General features: G+C 56.3%; 1 protein-coding gene across 8 annotated transcripts in view, besides 1 other annotated feature; it reads right to left on the reverse strand.

The window, feature by feature from the left end:
* Nucleotides 1-12,646, reverse strand: part of CDC42BPB (CDC42 binding protein kinase beta) — a 125,170-nt gene that overhangs the window by 4,360 nt on the left and 108,164 nt on the right. For 4 of the 8 annotated variants that reach the window (NM_001411054.1, NM_006035.4, XM_005268228.2 and 1 more), the window contains 10 exons: nucleotides 10,982-11,063; nucleotides 9,729-9,945; nucleotides 8,923-8,985; nucleotides 7,152-7,748; nucleotides 3,488-3,585; nucleotides 3,307-3,391; nucleotides 3,091-3,208; nucleotides 2,871-2,988; nucleotides 1,567-1,672; nucleotides 1,365-1,435 (listed from right to left, as the gene is read on the reverse strand). In NM_001411054.1, the coding sequence (NP_001397983.1) occupies nucleotides 1,365-1,435; nucleotides 1,567-1,672; nucleotides 2,871-2,988; nucleotides 3,091-3,208; nucleotides 3,307-3,391; nucleotides 3,488-3,585; nucleotides 7,152-7,748; nucleotides 8,923-8,985; nucleotides 9,729-9,945; nucleotides 10,982-11,063 (1,555 nt within the window). Of the gene's footprint in view, nucleotides 1-1,364; nucleotides 1,436-1,566; nucleotides 1,673-2,870; nucleotides 2,989-3,090; nucleotides 3,209-3,300; nucleotides 3,392-3,487; nucleotides 3,586-4,214; nucleotides 4,660-7,151; nucleotides 7,749-8,922; nucleotides 8,986-9,728; nucleotides 9,946-10,981; nucleotides 11,064-12,646 lie in introns of those variants that run through there. The other 4 variants (XM_047431982.1, XM_047431981.1, XM_011537387.2 and 1 more) reach the window with 3 other exon arrangements.
* Nucleotides 8,406-9,605: an enhancer, noted in NCBI's record as "CDK7 strongly-dependent group 2 enhancer chr14:103411482-103412681 (GRCh37/hg19 assembly coordinates)". NCBI's record gives its function as "activates an origin of replication core promoter dependent on BRD2, BRD4, P300/CBP, MED14 and CDK7 cofactors, with strong dependence on CDK7, by STARR-seq in HCT116 cells {active_cell/tissue: HCT116}" and the evidence as "EXISTENCE:reporter gene assay evidence [ECO:0000049][PMID:35650434]".

Below are 12,646 nucleotides of genomic sequence, written 5' to 3' on the forward strand. Positions count from 1 at the left end.
AGCTTCACTAGTAGCTGGTACTACACACGTGAACCGTGGTGCCCAGCTAGAGTGGAAATGTTTCTGAATGAGAAAGAGGTGGTGACTGCATCTCTGTGGATGTACCAAATGTCACTGAGTAGTTTAAAGTAACTTTAAAGTAGTTATTTTGGGCCCGGTGTGCTGGCTCACGCCTGTAATCTGAGCACTTTGGGAGGCCAAGGTAGGAGGACAGCTTGAGCCCAGGAGTTGGGAGACCAGCCTGGGCAACAAAGTGAGACCCTGCCTCTATATTATTATGAAAATAAAAAAAACAAAAAAATTGTTGTTTTGTGAATTTCACTTAAATTTAAAAGAACAAACAAGGTCATGCAGACGAGACAGGCACTGGCTGCCTCAGGACACAGTACCCTAAGAGGGACACCATGTCCTCTGTATAATGTGACAGCCTAAGACACACTTCAAATCCCATGACCAGGAAACAGCGGACAAACTCAAACTCAGGAGCGTTCTGTAAAGTAACAGCAGTGCTTGCTACAAAAATGTGACTGTCCCACCAGACAAAGACAGGCTGGGGGCCTGCTGCAGAATAAAGGGTGGAACAGTAGGATGGACAAAGGATGGAGAAGACAAAGGACTTCCAGAGGAAGAGACGCTGACCTTGGCAGAACCAGCAACATGTGCAAGGCATCTGCCCGTCCGTTCGGCAGCTGATGTTAAAACATCTCAGTGCTGGGGCTGAGATGTGTGGTGGAGAGATGAGCATGGCCCCTCCGCCTGCATCCCTCCCTCCCTCCCTCCAAGGATGGCGCCGGGGGCTAAGCCCTCAGCTCACTCCTCAGCCCTCAGCACTGCAGCTCCTCGCCTCCCTCGACTGCATTCTCATCCCCATTCCGCACAGGGGAAACTGAGGCCAGAGCAGTGTGGCTGAGCTGCGCACAACAGTGGCGCTTGTCCTGGAGGTGGTCCCCACACTCTGACACCAAGCGCCATCCCAAGGGAGGGGCAGACAGACCAACCAATGTGGAAGGTCAGCCCAGACCAAAGAGACTGCTGATGTATCACATTGAAGTACATAAAACAACACAGGGAGTCCAGAGGAAAGAGGCAGGTTGGCGGGAAAGCTTCCATTCCTCCTGGGGCAGTGTGACAGCCCTGTCCCTAGTCAGCGTTCCCAAAGGAGCTTGGGGTCTGACCAAGAGATTGCTGCACGAGCCTCCTGGGGGAGGGGACAGCCACCCCGACCCCTGCCCCCGTCACCCTCACACCGCAAGTGGGGTGCTCCAAAAGGGCTGTGACACCACCCAGGGCCCCAGATCTTCGGGCTGCTTTTCCTCCTGCAGTGGTGGCTCATAGCCTCAGCACTGGACCTGGGCAAGTCTCACCTCTTTGTCAAAGTCCTGGTCTGGATCAGACATACTTCTCAGAGGCACAGTCACGCTAGGCTCCGATCCACCTACAGAACAAGGACAGCTTTCCTCTTAGGGAGAAAGTCAAGAACGGAATCAAATGCCTGGGGTCTCCCCATTCCAGCACCCCCTACCCCCCACCTCCCCCAGGGCTGCGGGGGCCAGGCTTCCCCTGTACCTGATGAGGGCCACGAGATGTAGGGCTTGTTCCTGGATGGAGGCTGGCGAGCCAGGTTGGTGGGAGCGGGGCCCGGCCTTTCCTCCTGGGAGGGGGGCACAGCACTCTGGGCAGAAATAGCAACACGTGAGCATGCTTGGTTGACACCCGGCAGGGCCGGCTGCGAAGTTTGTGCAACCTACGGTGGCTGTGGCCTCGTGACCTTGATGAGCAAAATGGGGGCCAAGAGGGCTCTCTGGATTGGACAAGGGTTCTGGACAGTCTGGAACTAAGAACTGGCAATAGCAACTTCAGGGCAGGTCAAATCCTATAAAAAGCGTACTTTTTTTGTTTGTTTGTTTGAGACTGAGTCTTGCTCTGTCCCCCAGGCTGGAGTGCAATGACGTGATCTCGGCTCACTGCAACCTCTGCCTCCTGGGTTCAAGCAATTCTCCTGCCTCAGCCTCCTGAGTAGGTGGGATTACAGATGCCCACCATCACACCCAGCTTATTTTTGTAGTTTAGTAGAGACAGGGTTTCTCCATGTTGGCCAGGCTGGTCTCAAACTCCTGACCTCAGGTGATCCACTCACTGTGGCCTCCCAAAGTGCTGGAATTAAGAGGCATGAGCCACCACACCCAGCCTAAAATACATAATTTTTTTTTTTTTTGAGACGGAGTCTTGCTCTGTCACCCAGGCTGGAGTGCAGTGGTGCAATCTCGGCTCACTGCAAGCTCCGCCTCCCGGGTTCATGCCATTCTCCTGCCTCAGCCTCCCCAGTAGCTGGGACTACAGGCACCTGCCGCCACACCCAGCTAATTTCTTTTTGTATTTTTAGTAGAGACAGGGTTTCACCGTGTTAGCCAGGATGGTCTCGATCTCCTGACCTCGTGATCCGCCCGCCTCGGCCTCCCAAAGTGCTGGGATTACAGGCATGAGCCACCACGCCCAGCCAAAAACATACTTCTTAAGTAAAAAAGAGAAAGTATGCTATCTGTTGGTACGAAGGTGTTACTGAGAAATCACCACCTCATGGCAAACGTCCTTAGGAAGCCCTCACAGGCCGAAACGTGGTGGACTCTCACAAGTACCTGCAGCATCACTGCCCAGGGCGGCCCGAGGCCTGTGCACAAGGCCTTGTGACAGGGTAAGTGCTCGTGAACAGAGCTTCAGCGGAGACGGGCTTGTGTGACAGGAGCGCCAGGTCAGAGCACAGCGCCAGCCTCGCAGGCACTGCCTTTGGGACAGTCTCAGCCAGCATGGCTGCCTGAGCGGGGAGGAGGAGATGGGGTGCCCTGCCCGCCCTATCCCGGCCGTGCACGCACCAGAGGCAGGTCCATGAGCACCTGCATGCCGTCGCCTGGGCCCATGTGGGCCACGTGGTTGAAGTTGGTTGGGTTGGATATCATTTTGGATCTCAATTCTGGGTCTCTAAGCATCTCTCTGGGGAAAGGACACACTTTTGAGATTCATGGATACGTGAGAATCCTCTTGGCCCCCTCCCTAGAGCGAGGCCCAGCAGGCCCCGTGAGGCCCCGCTCCTACCGCCTCTGCTGCAGTCTCTCTTCCTCTGGGACCTTGAAGACGAACCGCCTTTTGCTCCTGGTGCGCAGCATCTGCTTCTTGCTGTTGTCGGAGGTGTCCGGCACGTTGAGAACCGCTCCTGCAGAAGCAGAGCGCGCGGTGACGGTGCTGCGGCACCAGGGACACACGCCCCTCCAACTTCCCTTCCCTCCACTCCCGGTGCAGAGGAAGGCTCACCCGAGAACTTGCTCTTGAAGTAGATCAAGCGTGGAGGCTCGCAGTTGAGGAGGTTGAGGGTGCCTTCAGAGTTCAGGGGCCTTATCTGGATTGGAAACCAGGGAGGGACAGTAAGCGCGGCCACGCACAGACTGCACCGGGAGAAGCCCGCCCGCACAGGAGGGCACCGAGGCCGCCTTACCCTCCGCAGGCCGATGGTCTGCACCCACTCCATGGTGCGCACATCAAAGACGTCCACGCCATACTCGCTGTACACCGTGACGTGGGTGGGGCTGCAACCTAGCGCAGACGGAGCAGGGCGGGGTGAGCCACAGTGGCTCAGGAACTCACCTGCCCTCGGGCCGGAGGCCAAGCCTTGGCACTTGAACAAGTGCAGAGGCGGCAGCACTGCCCTCAGCTGGTTCACGTCACCAAAGACTTCATGTTCCCACTCTGGAATTCATCTTCATTTCAAAGTTTAAACAAACACAATCCAATGTTTAAATGCTCCACAATCACTTCCGTAACTAATATTTTGAATACTACAGTACAGATGTTGAAGGTGACTTTTAAAAAGTCTGGTTTTTCATTTAGCTCTCATGAGATGTGATTATCCTGAAAGCTACTAATTCAGGCTCAACACTTTGGAAATTCAGGTAGGGGCCGACTGTTCAGTATGGTGAGGCTAATTCTTCCGTAGGAGATGGCAAGTCCGGTTTCCAGGTAGGTATTAAAAACCACACAGAAACCACTGCTGACCTCTGGGCAACAACCCTGCCTGTCTGCCCTCCACACTAATGACCCTAGACCCCTAGGAACCCGTGCTATGGGGGCGTGGGAAGCCCCTCTGCAGCCCGGTCTGAGGGCATATGCAAGCGAGGCTAAGGGCGTCCTGCAGGGAGCTCTGGGGTCCGCGCTGTGCTCCTCACCTGCTCATCTGTTGGCTTACAGAAGCAACTCCACCCAAGGTGCCACGGATGTGAAACCAAGGACTGCAAAGCCTTTGGCCATTTGGAGTTTAAGGGGCTTTCTCCACGTTTAGAAGAGCAGTGACACAGCTGTGCCACACGACAAGGGAGCGGTGTGCGTCTTCCGCTCAGTCCCTCTGTGTGGGTGGCACGCTCACTGCCCCCACAGCCCCTCAGCGTAGCTTGGCTCCTGGCCATCAGCTTGCAGAAACGCAGAGCTGGGAGGCGGCAAGCCCCAAATGCAAGAGAGCTCCAGCTCAGTGCTCCTTCCTGGCTCTTCTGCCTCCGGAGTTCAAGGTTAATCCTGCATCAGGACACACCTCACTGTCTGAAGATGCATTTTAAAAGCCTTCTGCTCTGTTTCTATCACAGACTCCAAACAGGCTACAAGATCAGGACTTTTCTTCTGAATACAAAAAGGGAAATCAAACAGGGTTTGCAAGAAAGACAAAAGATACTGGCCTGGTCACCAAACTGTCTCAGAAGGAGCATTTCAGATGCACCTGTGAGGCCTCTGAGAACCAAGTCAAAAGCAGCCCCAGACACTGCCCTTCAGGGAACCACTCTCCACACGGGCTTCTGGGAAGGCCCTTGCCTGCCGAGTATGTGGGGATTCGCTTGCAAGGAAGCAGGAAGAAGTCTAGTTTGCTGACTCAGTGATAAACAGATGCCCAGTGAAAAGATTCTAGTGAAACAGATTCTAGTGAAAAGAACATGGGCTCTGGAGCCTGACAGATGTGACATGTGACTGATACAGAGCACGCGGCCCCTGTGGCCTTCAGCTGCCTCCTCTCCAACAGGGCTGATAACACCTGCCCTAAGGGATGGGGAGGGGCAGGGGAGGCCACCCACACAGGGCACTAGCAAAGGGTGCAGAATGAGCAGTTCTGCATCCTACAGGTGATGGAATTACTTTTGACCAGCTCTGAAACTCATCTGCATCTGCACTGTGCCCGCAGGAGAGAAGACCCACCAAGGCGGAGAACCGAGGAACTTCAGGTGTCTACGCCAGACACGTGTGGCCAAGATTATAAATACATTGCACTAAGTGACCTGGGCCCTCTTCAACGTTACGCTTTGCAAAAATGTAAATCCTGTGTGGTTTTAAACCCTGTGCTGGCTGCCTATGAAGAGGACAGGGTGTTGGGGGGTAAGAGTCCAGGACAAGGGGTGCTGAGGCAGCGGGACTGGCCCCTTCCTGCACCTCACCGCAGGCCCACGGCCCAGCCCCACTGCCCACACATGTCTGCTGTGGTGTGGCCATCGGGATGGAGCCGGGACACACTGCAGTAAGCCCGTGGGTGGAGCTGGCCGTGCACCTCACAGGCCTGGTGTCTAGCCACGACGCCCTGGGTATGATGCCGTCTCAGCAAGGCTGACAATGGGGCAGACAAAGGGGTTTAGCTTCAGGTAACTGAGGGAGAATGTCATTCCCCAACTCTTGGCCTGTTACCCCCATATGCGCGGCTCGTCTTCCTCCCGGCCTCCTCTTGATCTGTGGATTTGATGGTGCAGGCCACTCTGATAGATCAGAGGGATTCTGAGGTTTAAGGTTTCCTTTCTGTTTTAAAAGACAGGGTCTCACTCTGTCTCCCAGGCTAGAGTGTAGTGGTGTGATCATGGCTCACTGCAGCCTCCATCTTCTGGGCTCAAGCAATCCTCCTGTCTCAGCCTCCCAAGTAGCTGGGACTACAGGCATGTGGCACCGTGCCTGGCTAGTTTGTTTGTTTGAGACGGAGTCCTGCTCTGTTGCCCAGGCTAGAGTGCAGTGGCGCGATCTTGGATCACTACAACCTCTGCGTCCCGGGTTCAAGCAATCCTCCTGTCTCAGCCTCCTGAGTAGCTGGGACTACAGGCATGTGGCACCGTGCCTGGCTAGTTTGTTTGTTTGTTTAAGACGGAGTCTCGCTCTGTTGTCCAGGCTAGAGTGCAGTGGTGCGATCTCAGCTCACTGCAACCTCTGTGTCCTGGGTTCAAGCGATTCTCCTGCCTCAGCCTCCTGAGTAGCTGGGACTACAGGCGCCCGCCACCACGCCCGGCTAATTTTTTTTTGTATTTTTAGTAGAGATGGGGTTTCACCCTATTAGCCAGGATGGTCTCGATCTCCTAACCTCGTGATCCGCCCTGCCTTGGGCTCCCAAAGTGCTGGGATTACAGGTGTGAGCCATATTTTGTTATTTAGTAGAGATGAGGCTGGTATTGAACTTCTGAGCTCAAGTGAGCCTCCTGCCTCAGTCTCGCACAGTGCTGGGATTACAGGTGTGAGCCACCGCTCTCCACCCGGTTTAAGGTTTTAAAAGCAATCGGACAGCGGGCCAGTCGGGAAGTGTCCACTGGTCCTACCTGTTCCCCAGTGCCACCATTCATAGAGAAAGTCATGCCAACTAGGCGAATTCAGTGACCCAACTGTTTGAAAAACAGCCCCTACCACTTTCAGAAAATACTTGTCCTTAGAGGGACTGTAACTTAAGACACCAGAGGTGAATTATTTTCTGGCCACCAAAACCCCTCAAGCTTGTCTTTACTACTGTGTAAGTTTCTGTATTATCACGAGGAAGGCCTTTTAAATGAGAGATGAATGCCACGCCCCGTTCTCGGTTCGCCGAGCCCTTCTGCCCAGGGGCCTATGCCCGCCGACGGGGTCCTCTGCTGAGGCCTCTGGAAGAACCGGCCCCATGTGCTCAGGGAGAGAGGTTGCTGAGCCCGCCTACTGCTGGTCTGAGACGTGAGATCTGAACCATGCTCTCTGCTGCGGGCTGGCATGGGGCCCACCTCTCCCGATGCTCTGTGACTACTCAACTAAGGGACTGGAAGACAAACCAAAGCAAAATCGAACACATGCTGACTGTCGGTGGGAAAAGCAGCAACAGGGATATGCAACAGAAAACATATACATACTACAGGCGACAGGAGCCGCAGGCCACATGAGCTCCTGCGCGCGTGCCCTCCGGCCTTGCGGGTCCACGTACAGTCCCATGTGGCTGAAGCAAAGCAGGTACTCCTCGCTTTCGAGCTCCACAGCACAAAGGGCATCAAAAGACTGTTGTGAGAGGAACGCAAGCGAGGGGTCATTGGGATTTACCAGGTTTAGAGGCTGCCCGTCCCCCTGGATGCTCAGCAGGCAGAACCCAGAAGGGTAGCCCACACAGAGCCTGTCCCTGAGCACCGCCAGGCACTGCACGCTGCCGGGAGCCACAATCTCATTGAACTTTCTGTGGAATGGCTTCGTTCTCTGGATCTCATAGCAAAGGATCAGCCGTTTCACGGCCACAAACAGGCAGGTGCCAGAGTTCCTCTTGAGTGTGGCCGTGGCCATGAGCTGGCAGCCTTTGGTTTCCGGAAGCTTGATGTCAAAGCTGCCTTCCGCTCCATCAAGGGACGACCACGGATAGAGGTGCACATGGTGGTTCCGGCCACAGAGGAGGATTACGATCTTCTCCCTGGGAGCAAGCTCGATCTGGTGTACCTTCTTACAGTCAGCGGCACGGACGATCACTGTGGCAAGGAGGACAAGAGCGTGAGGCCGACGGGACAGCCAGCAGCTCCCAGGGGCTGACGGCCTTGGCTAAAGACTTGCCTGGAACACTCTGGGGCCCTCCCCTGGGCTCCCTTCCTGTGTGCACAGCCTGAGCCCGGCCCTGAGCCCGTCTCTGCCCACAGAGCCAGTGGCTTGAACGCCCCCCGGAGAAGCTGCCCCACATCCACAGCGCGCTCCTGGGGCAGCCTCGGGGGCTGGTCCAAAGGCTCCTCTGCCTCTGCTGCTGTGCACACCCCTCAGTGCACCAGGGCTCCAGCTGGGCAGCGCTTCCACCTGGGTCCTCGCGCAGCAAGGCCCTGGGGTGATCTGGGCCTCCTTCCAGCTCATCCCCGAACCAGAGGGCCCTCACGCTGCACATGAGGGACAAAGAGCTGTCCCCAACCCACTGGGACCCTGAGACAAATCCTCTGAAGACGCTGCCCTCACAGGGCCCCCAGTGAAGACACTGCCCTCACACTCACACGGCCCCCAGTGAAGACGCCGCCCTCACACGGCCCCCAGGCTAACCCAAGCCCCTCGCTTGCTCAGATCTCCCCACAGAGCTGCCAGGGTACGGCCTCGCCCAGCGGCTGCCCCGCCCTTCTCGCTCCACGGCCATCACATGCAGAGATGCTGGGTCTGTCGGGAAAGGACTATGGCTCACATGAAATGTCGCTGGATTCCTTGAGGGATGCTCCCCTGGGCCCCTGCCCCCTGCCCATGGCCAGTTCCAGTCTCCTGACGTTTCTGCTCCTAGACCCAGGGCTGTGGAGCGGGTGCATGCCAGGATACCTTTGCCCTTCCTCGCTGGGAAGACTGAAGTGTCAAAATTGGAAGCAAAGAAACTAAAGCTTCTCAAGTGAAGCCTCAGCACATGTGGGAAAGCTGCAGCTGTTCCTCCTCCCAGGGGGCTTTCCTTGACCCCCCACCCACTCCCGCTCAGTGCTCCCCTTGAAGAACTCGATGGATGTGATACGCAACTTAGCACCGCGTCGCCATGCACTCGATGCCGGTCTTCACGGCACGCTGGCCCCTCCGGCGCCTTCATCAAGCGCATTTGTCTTAACCCTTAGGAGCTACTGACCCTGTGCTGTCTGCAGAGGCCAGGCTGGGCCTGTGACATCCCAGGCTGGAAACGCCCTGCTCACTCACCATCTCGGGTGACCTCTATGACATAGAGCCCTTCTTCTAGGCCGACTGCAATCCTGTCTGCATCTGTGGAGGGGTAAGTAACATACACAAAGTCAGTACAGCCGACCGTGAACAATATGGGTTTGAATGCGTGGGTGGGCTCATTCACAGATACTTTTCAACCATATGTGGATGAGAATACAGCATTCCAGGGATGTGACACTTCAGTATCGGGGGTGACTTTCTCTCTACACGAACTCCACAGGGCCGGCTGACTGTGGGATTGAGTCTGCAAGGATTTGGGTGTGTGTGGGGCTCCTGGAGCTGACCCTCAGGCTTAGCCGGGGCCAACTGTACTGTCCGCACAGGTCATCTGCTTTTTTTTTGAGACGGAGTCTCGGTCTGTCGCCCAGGCTGGAGTGCAGTGGTGTGATCTCGGCTCACTGTAAGCTCTGCCTCCTGGGTTCATGCTGTTCTCCCGCCTCAGTCTCCCAAGTAGCTGGGACTACAGGTGCCCGCCACCACGCCCAGCTATATTTTATTTTTATTTTTATTTTTTTTTTTAGCAGAGACAGGGTTTCACCGTGTTAGCCAGGATGGTCTCAACCTCCTGACCTTGTGATCCGCCCGCCTTGGCCTCCCAGAGTGCTGGGATTACAGGCGTGAGCCACCGCACCCGGCCTCGTCTGCTTCTTAACATGCATGGAGAAACTGTCTACAAACCCAAATGGACCTGTGACCTTCATCTGATTTTCAGATGGGCACTGCAGCGCCGCCGGAAGTGCTGTTGCTTCAGACACCTGAAGGACACAACCTTTGGGACGTACCCACGATGGCAGCTGTCAGGATGGCCTTGATGAGAGGCAGCGAGCTGTCGTAGGCTTCCAAGGGAACATGCACGACCTGATTCCTCAGCCGGTTTTTATGAAGGATGGACTGGAGTCCTTCTAGAATCCCAACCCACTTCCTCTTTTCATTCTCATTTTCTGTCAGAATGAGCAGCGAGCTGGTCTTAGAAGGTGCACCTAAGAGAGAGGCCGTCACCTTCATGACAGGAAACAGAAGAGAAGAGAGAAGTCATCAAACGCCAAAGCCGCACGCAGCTACCACGGCCCTGCTGGAGCCACGCACCCCAGGAGCAACGGGGGCTGATGTGCTTCCCAGGCAGGGACCCCTGACTCCACCTCGCTGGGCGCCTTGCAGAGGCTCCCGCGGCAGGACACGGAAGGGGCGGGGTTCTAAACAGCCCCGTGAGATCGCTTCCTGGTCCCATTTTCGTTAATTCTGCTTTTGTCAAAACTACGAGTAGCTGCCTACTTTAAATCTGCTTTCTTGAATAATCATTATAAAAGTAGATTCTGAAAATGTGTCCAGGAAAAGCAGATCTCAAAAACACTGGCCCAAATCATGCCTCCCTGTGAGCAGCCTCTGAGCACGCATGCTACCAAATGACCATCGTTCCAGTAACAATGATGGTAATTTCCTGTACTGTGTATGACAGGGTTGTTTCTGAATAGAGCTGTGATTTAGTAAAAGCTAATTTATAGACTTAGTTTTGTTATCAAAATTTTGCTGTTTATAAGAAAATTCCCAGTGGAGGGGGCTGGAGGGTTTCTTTCCCCAATTCAGTCTTCTAGGAACGTCCTAATGCTACAATGTCTAACACTAACTCAGTGAGGGAGCACTCACTCAGTCAACAAAAACGCTGGCTCCAATTGGCTGGGGGGCACTGGAGAGGCACCTTCATGCCTAACCTGCCACAGCGCCCGCCTGGCAGTGCACACGCTGTGAGGACAGTGGCCGGGACGTGGACTGAGTGGAAGAGGAGTTTCAGATGTAGGAGAAGGGAGGGTCAGTGAAGAGGGGTGTCTGGGAAGAAGCCAGCCAGGAGGCTCCCCGAGACGGGCACAGGCTGCTACTTGGCCAGGACGGGACGCACAAGGACCTGGAGCCAGGCTGGAGGTTGAGACCCTAGGGCCACACTGGAGGTGCGCTGATGGCTGCCGCAGCACAATGACATGCCTAGAACAATCAGTTTTAACCATGTGCTTTGTTAAAAAGATTAATGAAAAATTCATACCCTGAATATACATGGAATATCTCGGCGTGTAGCATGAATGACATCTGAGGCCAGGACTGAGCTCACGGAAAACTCGTCATCTCTGGTAAGGAAGAAACATTGACCCCGCTGGGAGACACGCGCACAGGACCCAAGGCCCTCCCACGCCCTGCCCTGCCCTGCCCTGCCATGTCCTTCCACCACCGTGTTCTGCAGTGGAGGGCGGGTCCCTCGCCTCCCCAGATGTAAGAAACACGGGCAGGGCCAACAAACTCAAGACTCTGGCAGGTGTTTCAGGGCTTAGGGATGCCGCAAGGGAAACCCCGGAGCCTCATCCCCACTGTGCTGGTGCCTCCAGACTATGCCAGTTACAGAAGACTCGGTTTGCACTTGGCACAGCCAGGCAGTCCCTCCAACAGCCAAGTGCAGAGGACAAGTGGGGTGAGGGGTGTGGAAGTGAGGGGGGAGTGGGAGGGAGTGGGGGGTGGTGGGGGGTGGGCGTGGAGGTGACAGGGGAGTGGGGGGTGGGTGTGGAGGTGGAGGGGAGTCGGGGGTGGGGTGGGGGTGGAGGTGAGGGGGAAGTAGGGGGGTGGGTGTGGAGGTGAGACGGGGAGTAGGGGGGTGGGGTGGGTTTGGAGGTGAGGGGGGTGGGGGGTAGGTGTGGAGGTGAGGGGGGAGGGTGGGGTGGGTGGAGAGGTGACGGGGAGGGTGGGGTGGGTGTGGAGGTGAGGGGAGGGTGGGGGGTGGGTTTGGAGGGAGGTGAGGGGGAGTGGGGGGTGGGCTTGGAAGTGAGGGGGAGTGGTGGGTGTGGAGGTGAGAGGGAGTGGGGTGGGTGTAGAGATGAGGGGGAGTGGGGGCTAGGTGTGGAGATGAGGGGGTGGGGTGGGTGCGGAGGTGGGGTGGGTGCAGAGGTGGGGGGGTGGCTGTGGAGAGGGGGAGTGGGGGGTGGGTTTGGAGGTGGGGGGGTGAGGGAGTGGGGGTGGGTGTGGAGGTGAGGGGGGAGCAGGGGGTGGGTGTGGAGGTGAGAGGGGGAGCGGGGTGTGGGATCAGTGTGGAAATGCTGTTCTGAAGAGGTTCCCTAAAGAGTGCTGAGCCCTCCGATGGGGCCCCTGACTTGGGCTCATGCCAACTTTTCGTCTACCAGTGGCCCTTCACCACCAGGCCAGGGGCACACCTGTGCACAGCCAGGGACTGGCGGGTGCCCCGGGGGAAGGGACATGGAAAGTGGAGTATGCTGCCAGGTGATGCCGACTCACCCTCGCTGTCCTCAGGGTACCCACCCAGCAGCCCTGCCCCCAAGAACCAATGCTACAGATGGAGTACCCAGCCCCGGCCTGAGCCCAGAGCAGTCCCGTGTGCACCACACAACAGACGGTGCACGGGCACAGCACAGAGATGACACAAAGGCAGTAGCATGGCTCCGTGTGCAGGCCCCGGGCTGAGCTAGGCCTCTTAGTGATGCGTTTACCTTCACAACAACATTCCACATGCCAGTAACATGACCACTGTCCTCTTCTCACTAACAGATGAGCCACAGATGTCAACTCTAAGAGGAAGTGGGAAGGAGGCCCCGCCTGCTCCTGCAGCTGACACTGGGTGGCACTGAGACAGGGTCACATAGCAAACGCTACGGCCACGCACACCCACATGGCCCACGGCTCCAGACTTCTTCCACACACCAGCACC

The sequence above is a fragment of the Homo sapiens genome, chromosome 14 (assembly GCF_000001405.40).
Source record: "Homo sapiens chromosome 14, GRCh38.p14 Primary Assembly".
In the NCBI taxonomy this organism is placed as follows: Eukaryota; Metazoa; Chordata; class Mammalia; order Primates; family Hominidae; genus Homo; species Homo sapiens.